Source organism: Homo sapiens, chromosome 16, assembly GCF_000001405.40.
Source record: "Homo sapiens chromosome 16, GRCh38.p14 Primary Assembly".
In the NCBI taxonomy this organism is placed as follows: domain Eukaryota; kingdom Metazoa; phylum Chordata; class Mammalia; order Primates; family Hominidae; genus Homo; species Homo sapiens.
The window spans coordinates 71,684,876-71,702,318 of NC_000016.10; the positions used below are offsets into that span (position 1 = coordinate 71,684,876).

Here is a 17,443-nt window from a genome sequence, read left to right on the forward strand (position 1 = left end):
GATACCAGTCCACTATGTCCCCCTTACTGCACGGAACTCTTAACAAGTCCTCTTCAGTCCAATTCAAATCTCTTTACTAGGCTTGAGAAAAGAGGCAAAAACCTCCCCCATTCCTATTGGAGCGGTGGCAGGAATTCACAGCACAAAAATAGCTCCTTAAAGAAATTCTCGGCCAGGCGTGGTGGCTCACGCCTGTAATCCCAGCACTTTGGGAGGCCGAGGCGGGCGGATCACGAGGTCAGGAGTTCGAGACGAGCCTGATCAACATAGTGAAACCCTGTCTCTACTAAAAATACAAAAAATTAGCCGGGTGTGGTCACGGGCTCCTGTAATCCCAGCTACTTGGGAGGCTGAGGCAGGAGAATCGCTTGAACCCAGGGGGCGGAGGTTGCAGCAAGCTAAGATCGCGTCACTGCATACCAGTCCAGGCGACAGTGCGAGACTCCGTCTCAAACAAAAAAAGAAATTCTCCCCCAAATTCCAACAACTCAACCTATATAGCTTTGATGAGGAAGCAGTCTTTTTATAGTCATGGAACCACTTACATCTTTTTGTCTGGTATCTCACTTTGTTACGTCACAGCTTGGCAAATCAGATGGAAACTTACATTAGGTTTCTGTGCCAACTGAAGATTGAACCAAGCGGCAGAAACAAAATACTTCCAGAAAAGAGAATCATATTAAAAAGATTCATTAAAATTAAATAATTTTCACAATATTAAATTGTGATACAACATAACCATTTTTCATTAGTAACAAATCATTGCAACTGAATGAGTCTGTGTCAAAATAAAGAATATTATTGAAATGAAGAATAGATACTGACTGTTTTAGCATAATCTTTTAAATATTTTATTTTGGAATGCTTGACATTGAAAAGTACAGAGAATCATATAATGTCAAATACTGAGACAGATCTGTAAATCTCTCACTGTAAGTTAATTTGTCAACTTCCCTGAGTATTTTAATTTCTGTATTACAGATGTTGAAATTATATTGTTACATATATATAACTTTGGAATTATTAAATATTCATGGTAAAATGTTCCTTTTATCATTTTGTAATGAGTCTCTTTATCCTTACTAATGCTTTTTGTATTAAAGTCCTTTTGGCCCAGCTACTTGGGAGGCTGAGGCAGGAGAACTGCTTGAATCCGGGAGGTGGAGGCTGCAGTGAGCTGAGATCGTGCCACTGCACTCCAGCCTGGGTGACAGAGCGAGACTCTGTCTCAAACACACACACAAAAAAGTCCTTTTGGGGATCAGTCTTACTGAGGTATAACCTAAAATAAAATTCACTGGTTTTTGTTGTATTTTTTTGAAACAGGCCACTCTTCACCCAGGCTGGAGTACAATGGCGTGATCATGGCTCAATGCAGCCTCAACCTTACGGGTTCAAGTGATCCTCCCGCCTTAGCTTCCTGAGTAGCTAGAACTACAAGTGTCTGCCATTGTTCCTGGCTAATTTTTTATTTTTTTGTAGAGACAGAGTCCCATTTATGTTGCCCAGGCTGGTCTTGAACTCCTAGACTCAAACAATTCTCCTGCCTCAGCCTCCCAAAGTGCTAGGATTACAGGTGTGAGCCACTGTGCCATGCCTGGCCTTGATTTTTTTTTAATTCACTAAGTAACCAATTTCATGAGTTTTTATAAATGAATAAATACAGTGTGCAACCCCATGGCCCCCAAACTTCCCTCTGTGCTCCTTTACAGTCAGCCCCCTCCCCACCATGCCCTGGCAATCACTGATCTGTTTTCTATCACTACAATTTTTTGCCTTTTTCAGAATTTCATATAAATTGAATAATTCAATAAATAGACTTTTGTATCTGGCTTCTTTCACTCAGAATTATGCTGTTAAGATTTATCCTTGTTCTTGTATCAGCAGTTCTTTCCCTTTTTTTTTTTTCGCTTAGCAGTATTTCCTGGTATAGATATATCACATTTGTTTATCACTTCACAAGTCAGTGAACATTTAAGTTGTTTCTAGTTTTTAGCCATTATGAATAAAGCTGCTATGAACATTCATGTACAAGTCTTTTAAAGAACATATGTTCATTTCTTTTGGATAAAAACTAGAAACAGAATTACTGGGTTATTTGAAAAGCACACGTTTAATTTTACAAAAAATGAATAACTGTTTTGCAAAGTAACTTCATTCCTACCATGATGTATAAATGTTCCAGTTGCTCCGCATCTTTGCCAAACTTGTTATTCATCAGTCTTTTAATTTCAGCCATTCTAGTGGTGTGCCGTATCTCACTATTATTTTTATTTGCATTTCCCTAATGACTGAGGTTGAAGATCTTTTCATGTGTTTGTTACCTGTATATCTGCTTTGGTGACAGGTCTCTTCAAATCTTTGGCCCAGTTTTTTAATGGGTTTGTCTTTTTGTTACTTAGTTGCAAAAGTTCCTTACATATTCTGAATACAAGTCCTTTGTTGCACATAAACTTTCATATAAATGTCTCATATGCTATTAATATAACCACACCAGTTTTCTTTTGATTGCTATTTGATGAGTATATATTCTTTCATCATTTCACCTTCAACCTTCTAAGAGTAAGTTTTAATTATGTCTCTTATGAACAGCAAATAGTATTTAAAATAACATCTGACTATCACAATCATTATGATTACTGATATATTCGGATTTATTACTATCACTATAATTTGTGAAAATTTAACATGTTATTTTGCTCCTTTTTCTCAATTCTTCTTGCCTTATTTTAGCGTTACAAAGTCTTCTATATTCTCTTTTCCTCCTCTAATTTTAGTGGCTATTGTTAAATTTTCCTAATAAATTTTAAGATTATTTGATGTCTCTATCCTCTTATCCCGAGTGTATCACATTTTACTTAATAAACACATTGCCACATCTAAACACTCATTTTGTCTTCACTTCTAGAAAATGTTCAGCTATTATTTTTTCAGATATTATTTCTCTTTTCTCTTCCTCTCTCTTCTCTAGAACTCCTATTAGATGTATACCAGAGCCTTTCTGAAGGATTCTTTTATAGTTTTTATCTGTGAAATTCTTCAGTACATCAGTTAATTACATTCAGCTACTAAACAGTGGCTTAAAAAAAATAGAGGAGTCAGTCCAGGACTAGCCTAACAGCTCCATAGGCCAGCAAGGACCCAGGCTCCTTCTTCCTCAAACGTTACACTGGACATATGTTTGCCAACTCATAGTCATCGTATGACTGCTCCACCTCTGACACTGAGGAACTGGCAAAGGGTCAAGCCATCCCTTTATGACCTTTAAAGGTCAAGCTCTTTAAAAGTCTATCCCATTTTAAAGAGCTTTTCCAAAAGTCCTTCCAGGAAACTTCTGTGTATATCTCAGTAGCTACAAGAGGGTTCCGCTAGAAGATTTAGTTTTTGATCCTGGGCATATTGCTACCCTGAACAAAATTCTATTAGCAAACAGAAGACACAAAATTACTCTTCATCAATTCTCTCTTTGTCTGATCTAGAGTTTAACCACTTAAGTTTTAAATTTTAGTAACTGTATTTTTATTTCCAATATTCTACTTGGCTCTTTCATAGGCAGATATTCTTATTTCTGAATTTGTTTTCCATTTTTGTTCTTCCATTCTCTCTTAGAAAATTCTAAACACATTTATTTTCAAGACGTTTGCTCATTTATTTCCATTTCAATCTGAAGTGAGTTTATCTTCTGATGGTTGAGTTTGTGGAAATCCTCCCTAGTATTAAATTTCTCTGTGGGTTTTTTTTTTTTTTTTTGTATGTGTGTGAGAGGGAGTTTACATTTCAGGTTCATTTGAATGGTAGGTTCATTTTCTCTCTCACCCTATCTGCTGCTTCCTCTCCACCAATCCCCAGCCTTGTCCTCATTCACTCTTTCCCTCTCAAGCAACTCTACTTACTTTCTTCACTTTGTCCTTCAGCCCCTAAGACCTCATACTGACAGTGGTGGGCTCCTGCCCCATGGTTGATACTGGAGTTACAAACACTCATTCATTAAACTAGTAGGGATTTCATTCATTTCCTGGTCAAAGGCCATGTAACTGGATTCTCCCACCTCTTTAGGACCAAACCTAGAAATAAGCCTTGGTTTCAGTCAGTGCTTAATGGCAGTTATTGTTTTAGCTTTCTTGCAGAAACAAAAGATACCAACCAGCCTGGCATTAGGCCGTAAGACTAACCCAGGACCCCCATTATGAGCAGAAAACTATTACTAAATACTTATAAGAGCCAAATTCCGAGGCTGCCACAACCTTTCAGACCCAGAGCCCAGGAGGCCCACAGACCTTCTGATCATTTTATGTTTCTATTCTGTATTTGTAAGCTCAGCTAGGTCTTTTCATATTTTTATTATTATTTTTTTTAAGAGACAGGGACTCACTCTGTCACATAAGGCTAGGATACGGTAGCACGATCACAGCTCACAGCAACTCGAACTCCTGGGCTCAAGCCATCCTCCTCCCACCTCAACCTCCCACCAAGCAGTTGACACTTCAGGCGCCACACCACTACACCTGGCTTTTTTTTTTTTTTTTTTTTTTTTTGAGACGAAGTCTTGCTCTGTCTCCCAGGCTGGGGTGCAATGGCATGATCTTGGCTCACCACAACCTCCGCCTCCCAGGTTCAAGCGATTCTCCTGCCTCAGCCTCCCAAGTAACTGGGATTACAGGCACCCACCACCATGCCCAGCTAATTTTTTAAAATTATTTTTAGTAGAGACGGGGTTTCACTATGTTGGCCAGGCTGGTTTTGAACTCCTGACCTCAAGTGATCCGCCCACCTAGGCCTCCCAAAGTGCTAGGATTACAGGCACGAGCCACCGCACCCGGCCAAGACAGGGTCTTGCTAATGTTGCTCAGGCTGGTTTCAAACTCCTGGCCTCAAGTGATCCTCCCACCTCAGCCTCCTGAGTAGCTGGGATTACAGGCACAAGCTACCACGCCCAGCTTATTTATCTTTTTCATACATGTATTCTATCAATATTGCTGTGTATTTGGATCAGAATGGATGCCTGATCCAAAGTGTGAATTCATGAGGTAATTTTGTCTGGAAGTCTTCCAGACAAACTCAGATTGGTTTATGACAGTCAAGATTCAAAACAGAGTAAAATCATGTATAGATAGCTTCCTAAAAATATTAACATATCTGTTTATGGTCATTTGTCATTCATTCTGTTTGACTAACAAGTGAACTCCTTTCCTGGGATGGAGACTCCTCTAGGACAGATGGAAGAAATGGCATGGCTCCCTGGCTGCTGGATCACAACTTATGACTACCTCAGACTCTGAATTTTAATTTAATTGGGGGGGAAAAAAAACCCCGAAAGAATCTATTTGGTGATGGATGCTGGCAGCTACTTCTAATTTCCAAAGGCAGCTTCTAATGGTAGCATCCACTGTCTACTCTGGCTATTGTGAGCCCCAGAATCTAATGCCTAGCAGTGGAGGTGGGGATGTCTTGAACAGATAGTTCTGCAACAGGATTTGGGGCATAATAGCCTCTGAACCTCTGAAACAGTCTCTGATATAATCTTTAATAATGCCCATACTGGCTTCTTTGAAAAGATATGACTAAAAGCTATGAAAAGCATTATGTGATATTTTCTTAATTAAGATGATCAAATGAAAAATAATTCATCTTTGTGAGTCTTACCTTTCCACCAACCAGAGGCAAAATGTGCATCTTTCCAGTTTGACAATCCTTCACTGAGGAAACGATAAGGCAGGTACCACAGAGGACAACTAGGCGCTCAGCCCACTTATGCAGCTGGGTCTTTCCCTTGCGTACATTATAGATGCCAGACAATAGGATTCGATCCAAACGATCCATGTGGCATGGTTTTTCTGAAAAGGAAATAATACTTCAGAATCCACCATTAAAGTAGTGTAAGAATACAGAAATGGAAAAAGAAAGCATTGTGTGTCAACATTCAACAACCTTATTTATAGATATAAGTAACCAAGCAATATAGTTAAGACAAAATTAGATCTAGTCCATCACTGAATTATATACAGTAGGAGTACCTTTGAATTTTGGTCTATGAAGCAAAATTGTACTTTGGATGCCATTGTTACATTAACCCTTCTTCCAACAGCCATATCTCCTATGTACCCAGAGAAAGGCAGTATGGTAGAGTGGTTAAGATCATGAACTCTGAAGTCAGAGATACTTGAATTTGAATGCTGGTTCTGTCACTTTGTTTACTTGAACTATTTATTCTCATTACGCTTTACTTTACTCATTTATACAGTTTGAATCTTAACACAACCTACCTTCTGGGGATTCTTATAAAAATTAAGTAAGATGGCCAGCTGCAGTGGCTCCCGCCTGCAATCCCAGCACTTTGGGGGGGCCAAGGCGGGCATATCACAAGGTCAGGAGATCGAGACCATCCTGGCTAGCACGGTGAAACCCCGTCTCTACTAAAAATACAAAAACAAAAAAATTAGCCGGGCATGGTGGCGGACACCTATAGTCCCAGCTGCTCAGGAAGCTGAGGCAGGAGAATGGCGTGAACCCAGAAGGCAAAGCTTGCAGTGAGCCAAGATCATGCCACTGCACTCCAGCCTGGGCGACAGAGCAAGACGCTGTCTCAAATAAATAAATAAATAAATAAATAAATAAATAAATAAATAAATAAATAAATAAGGAATATAAAATACTAAGCATAGTTTTAGGTACAAAAAGAACATGGAATAAATGACAACCACTATTGTTACTAATCTACCCTAGAAGGAAGAAATTAGTAACTACAGGAGTACTCTAATTTTGTACATAATCCTCCATCTCTCTGCCACTAATATGGAAAAGCTTATGGGTGGTACTTCAATCAACTATTCCGATCACGGTGGTGGAAATTCTACTTCTCATCAGAGGCCTTCATGACTGAGATACAGTGAACAAAACAGCACATAATAACAGAAAAGACGTGAAGTTCTTGGTAAGAGCACTATTAAAAGAAGTGTGCACCTGTAGTCCCAGGTACTCAGGAGGCTGAGGCAGGAAGACTGTTTGAGCCCAGGAGTTCAAGGCCAACCTGGACATCATAGTAAGACCCTGTGTCTTAAAAACAAAAAAAAACAAAACAACAACAACAAAAAGGGACAACTAACTATACACAGAAATGAGCAGGAGTAGCAGTATGAGGTGGTCCAAACAGTAACACAGAAGTTGGAAAGACTGGGTTGTACTCCTGGTATTATTACATAATTTTTTTTTTTTGAGACGGAGTCTTGCTCTGTCGCCCAGGTTGGAGTGCAGTGGCGCGATCTCGGCTCACTGCGAGCCCCGCCTCCCAGCTTCATGCCATTCTCCTGCCTCAGCCTCCCGAGTAGCTGGGACTACAAGCACCCGCCAACACGCCCGGCTAATATTTTGTATTTTTAGTAGAGACGGGGTTTCACTGTGTTAGCCAGGATGGTCTCCATCTCCTGACCTCGTGATCCGCCTGCCTCGGCCTCCCAAAGTGCTGGGATTACAAGTGTGAGCCACCGCACCTGGCCACTTAATTGTTTATACAATTAGGTATCACTTTGCCTATTTAAATTAGGTATCACTTTGCCTATTTAACTTAGGTATCACTTTGCCTATTTAACCATGTGTTTCCCATATACAATATGAGGAAATGAGCTAGATTACTTCAAAGCCTTAAAATTGTATTATTCAATAAAACTTTGTATATTAATACACTATACAGGATAAGCATTTCACCTTCTATTCTAGGTCAATCCTTTCATCTATACAGTCGTTCCTTGGTATTGGCAAGTGATTGATTCCAGGACCTCCCCAAGGATACCAAAATCCACAGATGCTATAGTCTCTTATATAAAATGAAATGGTATTTGCATATAACCTACGCACAACTTCCTGTATAATTTGAATAATCTCTAGATTACTTATAATATCTAAAACAATGTAAATGTTAAGTAAATAGTTGTTATGCCATATTTTTCTTTGTTTTTTTATTTTTTTAAAATATTTTTGATCCATTGTGGATATGGACGACTGACTGTATTCTAAATTCCACCTTCCTCAGAGAGTTTGGTTCTCCCAGATCTATATTCCTAAGTTCTAGTTCCACATTTCCAACTATCCAGATATCTCCAACTACATGTTTACCATCACTTAAAATTCAACATGCCTGGCCAGGAGCAGTGGCTTATGCCTGTAATCCCAGCACTTTGGGAGGCTGAGGCGGGCGGATCACGAGGTCAGAAGTTCAAGACCAGCCTGACCAACATGGAAACCCCATCTCTACTAAAAATACAAAAATTAGCCAGGCATGGTGGCGTATGCCTGTAATCCCAGCTACTCAGGAGGCTGAGGCAGGAGAATCGCTTGAACCCAGGAGGCGGAGGTTGCAGTGAGCTGAGATCGCACCATTGCACTCCAGCCTGGGGGACAAAGCGAGACTCTGTCTCACAAAAGAAAAAAAAGATCAACATGCCTAAACCAAGTCATCACCATCCCTGTACAGCAGCAGCTCCTTCTCACAACTCAAGCTCATCTCCTGAAGTCACCCATGCTCAAAACCTCAGAAGCAGCTTCAACTCTTGGGTTCGCTTTCTCAACTTCTCTTTTCAATCAATCATTAAGTCTTACTGATTACTCCTTCAAAAAGTCTCTCACATGAACAATTCCTTCCTATTCCCTAGTTCAGATCCTTATCAATTCACACCTGAATCACTATCCACACTGGCACCAGACTGATCTTCCCTGGGCTCACTTGGATCCCATCACTTCCTGCTACCATCTGCCAAATGACGGCTAAACTCCTGATGGAGCACCCATGGCCCAAAACAATCTGGACTCAAATTAACTGTGATTCATGAACATGCAATGAAATTTTTAATCTCCCACGGCTGCCTTCTTTTTCATTTCTGCTTAGTGAAACGTTGTCAATTTTTAAAGAACCAACTCAAATACAACTTCTTCACAAAGACTTCCCCCAATTTCTTGACATCTCTGATTTTCCAGAGAACAGGGACAGAAAACTTTCCTATCAGCTAGCAAAATATATCATATATGTATATTAGTAAAAATCTGGCCAGGTGTAGTGGCTTACAACTGTAATCCCAGCACTTTGGGAGGCCCGGGCAGTTGGATCACTTGAGGCCAGGAGTTCAAGACCAGTCTGGCCAACATGGCAAAATCCCCATCTCTACTAAAAACACAACAATTAGCTGGGCGTGGTAGCAGGCACCTGTAATCTCAGCTACTCGGGAGGCTGAGGCAGGAGAATCGATTGCACCAGGGAGGTAGAAGCTGCAGTGAGCTGAGATCATGCCACTGCACTCCAACCTGGGTGACAGAGCAATACTGTCTCAAAAATAATAAAATAAAATAAAATAATTTTTAAAATTGACTGGCTGGATCACCTGAGGTCAAGAGTTTGAGACCAGCGTGACCAACATGGTGAAATCCCATCTCTACTAAAATACAAAAATTAGCTGGGCATGGTGGCAGACACCTGTAATCCCAGCTACTCAGGAGGCTGAGGCAGGAGAATTGCTTGAACCTGGGAGGCCGAGCTTGCAGTGAGCCGAGATCATGCCATTGCACTCCTACCTGGGCAACAGAGCAAGACTCCGTCTCAAAAAATAAATAAAATAAATAAATTGACTAAACAGTGACTAAATAAAAATTTTAAACTTATGCACAATAAAAAGTAATAAATAAAATAAAAAGTTACAGGCTGGAAAAAAATTGAGTCACAAATATAGTACCCAAAAGATATATATTCAGAATACATGCAGAAGTCCTTTAAATCAATATGAAAAAAGAGAAACAGAAACATGTACAAAAATATCAATGAGTAGTTCAAAGAAACTGAAAGATCCAATAAAAATATGAAATAATTCTCAATCACACTAGTAATCAGGGGAAAAAAATTTAAACAAAGAGACCATCATTTTTTAAATTTTTTTTTTTATTTTTGAGACGGAGTCTTGCTCTGTCGCCCAGGCTGGAGTGCAGTGGCTCGATCTTGGCTCACTGCAAGCTCCGCCTTTTGGGTTCACGCCATTCTCCTGCCTCAGCCTCCCGAGTAGCTGGGACTACAGGCGCCTGCCACCACGCCCGGCTAATATTTTGTATTTTTTAGTAGAGACAAGGGTTCACTGTGTTAGCCAGGATGGTCTCGATCTCCCGACCTCATGATCCGCCCGTCTTGGCATCCCAAAGTGCTGGGATTACAGGCATGAGCCACCGTGCCCAGCCAAGACCATCATTTTATCTATCAGATTAGTAAATATTTTAAAGCCTAATAATATTGAAAGGTTATAGGCAAAGGGGTACTCTGTTATACTGACAGGATATAAAAGTGTTCTGCAGTAGTAACTATTAATATTTTAAACGTGAGTAACCTATAACCCAATAATTTCATTCTTAGAGATCACTCTGAAGGAATACAGGTGCATAAAGAGATAATTTTACTAAAATGGCTGTTTTAACCGTCCAAAACTGGAAACAAAGTAAATGTCCATCACTAAGGAGATGGTTACACAGACTATAATGCATACATGATGTCCAATACTATGCCCCTGAAAGAAATGTATACAGGGCCGGGCACAGTGGCTCATGCCTGTAATCCCAGCACTTTGGGAGGCCAAGGCCGTCGGATCACCTGAGGTCAGGAGTTCAAGACCAGCCTGGCCAACATGGTGAAACCCCGCCTCTACTAAAAATACAAAAATTAGCTGGGTGTGGTGGTAAGCCACCTGTAATCCCAGCTAGTTGGGAGGCTGAGGCAGCAGAATCGCTTGAACCTGGGGGGTGGAGGTTGCAGTGAGCCGAGGTCATGCCACTGCACTCCAGCCTGGGAAACAAGAGTGAGACTCTGTCTCAGAAAAAAAAAAAAAAAGAAATGCATACAGAAGATGGTTCTGCAAATGCTGACAAGGTAAGATCTCCAAGACAAACTCTTGGGTGAAAAAAGCATGAAGACCAATACCAAATAATACCATTTATGTAAACAAAATCCATATGGTTCTATGAATATATACTATATAAAAATAATCAAGTTGGAAAATTCTGAACAGATATACACCAAATTGATGGTGGTTATCTATAGAGCAGTTAATGGACTTAGGAGGTGATTATAACAAATTAAAACACCACAGATAATGACACCATAGTCATATTACACTTGTGTAGTTAAACACCCAATGTTTTAAATGCAAAAATATATGAACAATAAATAAAAATATAAAATATGCATATAAAATAAGACTAAGAAAATACACAATCATAAAAATAATTGTATTAGGGTGGTGGAATGTTTTTCTACCACGTTACTCCTATATTTTAACAAAGAAGCTTTAAATATGCAAATTAACATGAGATAGTATTTTTGCAATCGGGGAAAAGATGATACCTGATGTTGTCAAAGGTGTAGGGAAATAAGTACTCTCAAATTCTACCAAATCAACTACACACTAGTAACACCTATTTGTGCAACTTGGGAATGCTCAGTCAAAATTTTAAATGTGGCCGGGCGCAGTGGCTCACGCCTGCAATCCTAGCACTTCAGGAGGCCAAGGTGGGCAGATCACCTGAGGTCAGGAGTTCGAGACCAGCCTGACCAACATGGTGAAACCCTGTCTCTACTAAAAATACAAAAACTAGCCAGGCATGGTGGTGGGTGCCTGTAGCTCCAGCTACTTGGGAGGCTGAGGCATGAGAATTGCTTGAACCCAGGAGGCAGAGGCTGCAGTGAGCTGAGATTGCACCCGGCCTAGACGACACTGCACTCCAGCCTGGGCCACAGTGAGACTCCATCTCAAAAAAAAAAAAAAAAATTCTACTTGTAAGAATCATGTCCTCTTCCCTGCACTCCTCAGTCACTCCCTTGACTTTTATAATAATTTCCTTGCTCTCTTTATATTTTTGCCACTTTCGTATATATCCTGTATTAACTATGGCTGTAGCAAACAATATAATGGCTCAAGCAACAGGAATTTAATTCATTCAAGTGAGCATTCTGTTTTGCCAGGGGTTAACACTGTCATTCAAAAACTCAGGTTCTGGCCACGCACAGTGGCTCACACCTGTAATCCCAGCACATTTGGGAGGCCGAGGTAGGCGGATGACTTGAGGTCAGGAATTCGAGACCTGGCCAACATGGTGAAACCCCATCTCTACTAAAAATACAAAAATTAGCCAGCTGTGGTGGTGGGTTCCTCTAATCCCAGTCACTCAGGAGGCTGAGGAAGGAGAACTGTTTGAATCTTTGAGAGGCGGAGGTTGCAGTGAGCTGAGATGGCACCACTGCACTCAAGCCTGGGCGACAGAGCAAGACTCTGTCTCAATAAATAAATAAATAAATAAATAAATAAATAAATAAATAAATAAAAAGAAACTCAGGGTCTGCAATTTTCCACACTTGACTTCAATTATTGCTCTGATTATTGCCATCCTAGCCCACCAGACAGGAAAAGAGCACCACAGCCCTGAGAAGCACACACTGGGGGTTTTAGGAACCAGGTAGAAGTGGCGCACATCAAGTCCACTCCATACAATGGAAGAAAATTTTGTCACATGTACACACCTAACCGCAAGAAAGGCTGCGAAATGGGCTGTAGCTAGGCAGTTATATGCCCCACTACAATTTTGTTACTATGAAAGAACAGATTTTGATAAACAATAGTATTGCCACACATTTCAAAATAATATGGCTGTGTTTTAGCCTGTTTTCTGAACTTTAAATGAATGGAAATATACGATGTAATTCTTTTGCGTCTGGCTTCTGATGTTTGTATTTATGCTCTTTTGACAAAGCTGTTTTAAACAATATGTGCAGAGAATGCAGTACACAGAGAAACGTTCAGGCAGGGAGTTGTGCTACCTGAGCCATACAGTCCCAGAGCTACAACTTCCCTCACAAATCATACCCTCTATATGCCACTTTCTCCAACGCAAATAAGAGGTTTGCTCTTTCTCTCTCTCTCTCTCTTTTTTTTTTTAAGGTGAACAGGAAGTAGGATTTTTTTTTTTTTTTTTGAGATGGAGTCTTGCTCTGTCGCCCAGGCTGGAGTGCAGTGGCACCATCTCAGCTCACTGCAAGCTCTGCCTCCCGGGTTCACACCATTCTCCCACCTCAGCCTCCAGAGTAGCTGGGACTACAGGCACCCGCCACCACGTCCAGCTAATTTTTTGTATTTTTAGTAGAGACGGGGTTTCACTGTGTTAGCCAGGATGGTCTCAATCTCCTGACCTCGTGATCCGCCTGCCACAGCCTCCCAAAGTGCTGGGATTACAGGTGTGAGCCACCGCGCCCGGCCCAGAAAGTAGGATTTATTGGTGAGCATTAAGAGGGGGCAGCACAGTGGAAGCCCTCACAAGAGCAGGGCCCGCCACTTGTCCAGAGGGCCACTACTGGGGATGTAACTGACCCCGCAGCCATCTGGGATGAGCTGCTTCTCAGCCCCCATGTCTTCAAATTCATCTGCATTGAACTTGGTAAAGCCCCACTTCTTAGAGATGTGGGATCTTCTGGCAACCAGGGAACTTCAACTTGGCCCTACATAGGGCCTCAATCATGTGCTCCTTGTTATGCAGCTTGGTGCAGATGGACATGGTAACTTGGCCAATGTGAACCTCGGCCACAGTGCCCTGCGGCTTTCCAAAGGCACCTCGCATACCTGTTTGGAGCCTAGACTGGGGATAGCACAAAGTCAGAGACATGAACATCCATCTGAAAGGCCTGTCTCTAAGGTCCCTTAGAGCAACCCATACAAGAAACAGGCTGAGTACGCTACCAAGGAAGCTGCTGTGGGCAGCCATTGTACACTGGGCCTCCCTGAGGAAAGGAACTCAGTTGGCTTAACTGTCTGCAGAGGATTTACATGCTCTCTTAATCCCATGATTAATCATGCTACCTACTCAACTTGACTTTAGTGAAATGTTATCTCCACAGCTTTTATATCATGAATTCGAACTGAGAGAGCCATTCCACTCACTTTTCCCCCAGCACTCCCTCTCCAGCAAGACTGATAACTGGCATTTGCATAATGGCTGACTGGGACACTACCCAGTGTCCTTTTATAACCAGAGAACACAACATTAACTGGTTCGCACTCGGGCCCTTATGACCTTGGCTTTATTAACACTATATTCCAAATAAGCTGATGCACCAAAAATTCTACACATAAAATATTTGAAGCTGATTACTAAGCTATTTACTTCAAAGAGAATACTTCAACTCTTTCCTTCCGTAACAATAGTTGTGTCTGGTTTCAGGAACTGGGTGGTTGGAGGAAAAAGGTGAGAGGGAAGCATATTTTCTATGATAGTTTTGATAGAGACAGGAGGCAGAGAAATTCTAGGCAGACAGGGACAGGTGCCCAGCAAAACCCCACCTTCGAGCCAAAAAGCCTGAAACCTGTGGCCCAAAGTGAGAATTTCCATCCCTGTTTGTCTGCTCTCTCCTGAATGGTTCTTTCTGAGTGTCTTTTTACCAATCGAATGTTGCCTTTTCCAAAACTACCTACAGCACCTCCCATCCTGTGCCCATGAAGACCCCAGACTCAGCGAGCAGAGAAGAGAAGCAGCTGGACATCAGGGAGAGGCGACTTGACTTCAGAAGACAGTGGCAGGGAGGCAACTTGACTTCAAGGGAGAGTGAGCTGCCCTTCCCATTCCCTTTCCAGCTCCACTCTTCACTGAGAGCTGCTTTCATCATTCAATAAAATTCTCCGCATTCACCATCTTTCAATTTGTCCACATGACCTCATGCCTCTTAGGCACCAGACAAGAATTTGGGACGCACCAAGTGCCGGTATTCAAAAAGGCTGTCACACTGGCCCTTTACCCTCACTGGTGGAAAGCAGCCGCCCTACGCAACAAGGCAAAGGGACCACTGACCTGGTAACACATTGCCGTCTGCAGATGAGAGAGGTAAGAGAGCATTATAACATGTCCTCTGGGGCCTTGGGATCACAGACACCCCCACCTGGACGCTGCTGCAAGCCTACACAGAGTTTGCTTCTGCTGGTGCTAAAGCAGGCAGCCAGTTCCTGCACTCGCTCTCCTATGCGCTACATCCCACAAAGGGTGGAGCACAACAGACCCCAGTGAACACGGTTTGTTCCCACCAGCGTCCAATCAGCTAGCCAGTTCACGCACTCATTCACCTGCGCATTCCCTCCCACAAGGGGTTGAGCGGGGTGGGCTGAGTAAATGGGGTACCCCTGTCACAAGTCCCAAAGAGGGGTCAAGAAAATATCCTGCATCAGTTTTATTATAGATCCGGCTGCTCACAGTGGCTCGTGCCTGTAATCCCAGCACTTTAGGAGGCCAAGATAGGAGGATCACTTGAGCCCAGGAGTTTGAGACCAGCCTCGAGCCATGAGCAACATGGCGAGACCTCAGCTCTACAAAAAATACAAAAATTAGCCAGGTGCAGTGGTGCGCACGTGTAGTTCCAGCTACTTGGGAGGCTGAGGTGGGAGAATCATTTGGGCCCAGGAGGTTGAGGCTGCAGTGAGCCATGATGGCAGCATTGCACTACAGCCTAGGCAACTGGGTGATACCCTGTCTCAAAAAAAATAAAAAATTAAAAAAAAAAATAGACCCACAAATTCTTTGACACTCCTTTCAAAAACTGGAGCTAATTCCTCTCTCTATAGTATGGGCTGTGTTTAGTGACTCATTTCTTTTTTTTTTTTTTTTTTTTTTTTGAGACAGAGTCTCGCTCTGTCACCCAGGCTTGAGTGCAGGGGCACGATCTCGGCTCACTGCAAGCTCTACCTCCCAGGTTGACGCCATTCTCCTGCCTCAGCCTTCCCAGTAGCTGGGACTATAGGTGCCCGCCACCAGGCCCAGCTAATTTTTTGTATTTTTAGTAGAGACAGGGTTTCACTGTGTTAGCCAGGATGGTCTCAATCTCCTGACCTTGTGATCTGCCCGCCTCAGCCTCCCAAAGTGCTGGGATTACAGGCGTGAGCCACCGCACCTGGCCTGTGACTCATTTCTTAATAAGTAAAAAGTGGTAAAAGTAAAGGTGACTTACAAAGCTTGGTTATAAAAGACACTGAGGCCTCTGTGCACGTGCATGCATGTGTGTATACGTGTGTCTCATCACTGGGGAAACTAGCCACTATGTTGTGAAGACGCCTAGGAAGCCCTATGGAAAGATCCACAGAAGAGGGAACTGAAGCCTCCTACCAGCAGCTGGTGAGGAACTGAGGCCATGTGAGTGAACCGTGTTGAAAGTGAATCTTCCAGGCCTACTCAGGCCTTCAGATGACTAAAATCTCATGAAACCCAAGCCAGGACCATCCCTCCAGCTAAACTGCTCCTAGATTTCTGGCCCACAAAAACTATATAATTATTAAGTATTAATCATTTTAAGTCCTAACTTTTGAGGCAATTTGTTACAGAGCCAACAGATAACTAATTCATCTATCTATCTATCTATCTATCTATCTATCTATCTATCTATCTATCTATATATCTATCTACCTACCTACCTACCTACTACCTACGTTTTGTTTTTGGTACCAGGTACATTATTACTTTTCAAAGATTATTAACTTTAAGTTTCATCCCAAACTTAATTTCCTCACTCAAACCATACTAGCTTTTCTATGTCAACAGAACTCACTTTTGGAAAGATCCCTCAAAATTTAAGTACTACAAACTGGTACTCTTTTAGACTCTACTGGAAATATCCTCTTAAGGGTATAGTACATTAAGATCCTGCATATGCTGTCATTTATCAGATGGTGGTAGGAAAAGTAGGGGCATCAGAGCCAACCACTGTGCAGTATAACTGCACGTAAAAGAAAGGTTCAACTTTCATTCTAGAAAAAAATATACACAGTAGCCCCCCTGCCACCTGTGGTCTTGCTTTCCAAGGTTTTAGTTATCTGCAGTCAATCATGGTCTGAAAATAGGAAGTAAAGTACAAGATATTTTGAGAGAGAGAACATTCACTAACTTTTATTACAGCATATTGCTATAATTATACTATTTTATAATTAAATATTGTTAATCTCTTACTTTGCCTAATTTATCAATTAAACTTTACCATAGGTATGTGTATACAGGAAAACACATAGTACATATAGAGTTCAGTACTATCTGCAATTTCAGTCATCCACTAAGGATCTTGGAACGCAATCCCAGTGGATAAGGGGGGACTACCATAATGAAGAACTAGGGTTCAACCACAATCAGATAAGAAGCATGTTACTGTTCCAAGTTTTTGTTTTTTTAACTATTATAGTGATAGATGGGTCGTGTTCCTCAAATTCATCTTAAAATATTTTTCTCAGAAGAGTCAAAAATCCTAGATTTAAACCCCACTAAATTCACCAATATACAAATTTGACAGGTATACTCATCAACGTCAAGTCATATATGATAATGATTACTTACTCTCAACATTTTTGAGCTATCCAGAAGTTCACAGACTTTACCAGGAGCTTGAAAAAATAATTTACTAAAGCAT

General features: G+C 41.5%; 1 protein-coding gene, 1 long non-coding RNA gene and 1 other non-coding gene across 4 annotated transcripts in view, besides 1 other annotated feature; 1 reads left to right on the forward strand and 2 right to left on the reverse strand.

Annotated features, from left to right (window-relative positions):
- Window positions 1-14,698, forward strand: part of LOC124903712 (uncharacterized) — a 28,774-nt gene extending 14,076 nt beyond the window's left edge. The window contains exon 2 of the long non-coding RNA XR_007065109.1: window positions 14,483-14,698. This is a non-coding gene — a long non-coding RNA (uncharacterized LOC124903712). The remainder of the gene's footprint in view (window positions 1-14,482) is intronic.
- The window catches only part of PHLPP2 (PH domain and leucine rich repeat protein phosphatase 2), a 79,778-nt gene that overhangs the window by 39,952 nt on the left and 22,383 nt on the right, over window positions 1-17,443 (reverse strand). For both annotated transcript variants that reach the window (NM_015020.3, NM_001289003.1), the window contains exon 4: window positions 5,644-5,834. In NM_015020.3, the coding sequence (NP_055835.2) occupies window positions 5,644-5,834 (191 nt within the window). The remainder of the gene's footprint in view (window positions 1-5,643; window positions 5,835-17,443) is intronic.
- SNORA70D (small nucleolar RNA, H/ACA box 70D) lies at window positions 13,692-13,826 on the reverse strand. The gene has a single exon (NR_033337.1). It is a non-coding gene; the product is annotated as a small nucleolar RNA, H/ACA box 70D (small nucleolar RNA).
- Window positions 16,079-16,138: an enhancer, noted in NCBI's record as "active region_11076". NCBI's record gives its function as "activates an Ori minimal core promoter by ATAC-STARR-seq in GM12878 lymphoblastoid cells {active_cell/tissue: GM12878}" and the evidence as "EXISTENCE:reporter gene assay evidence [ECO:0000049][PMID:35858748]".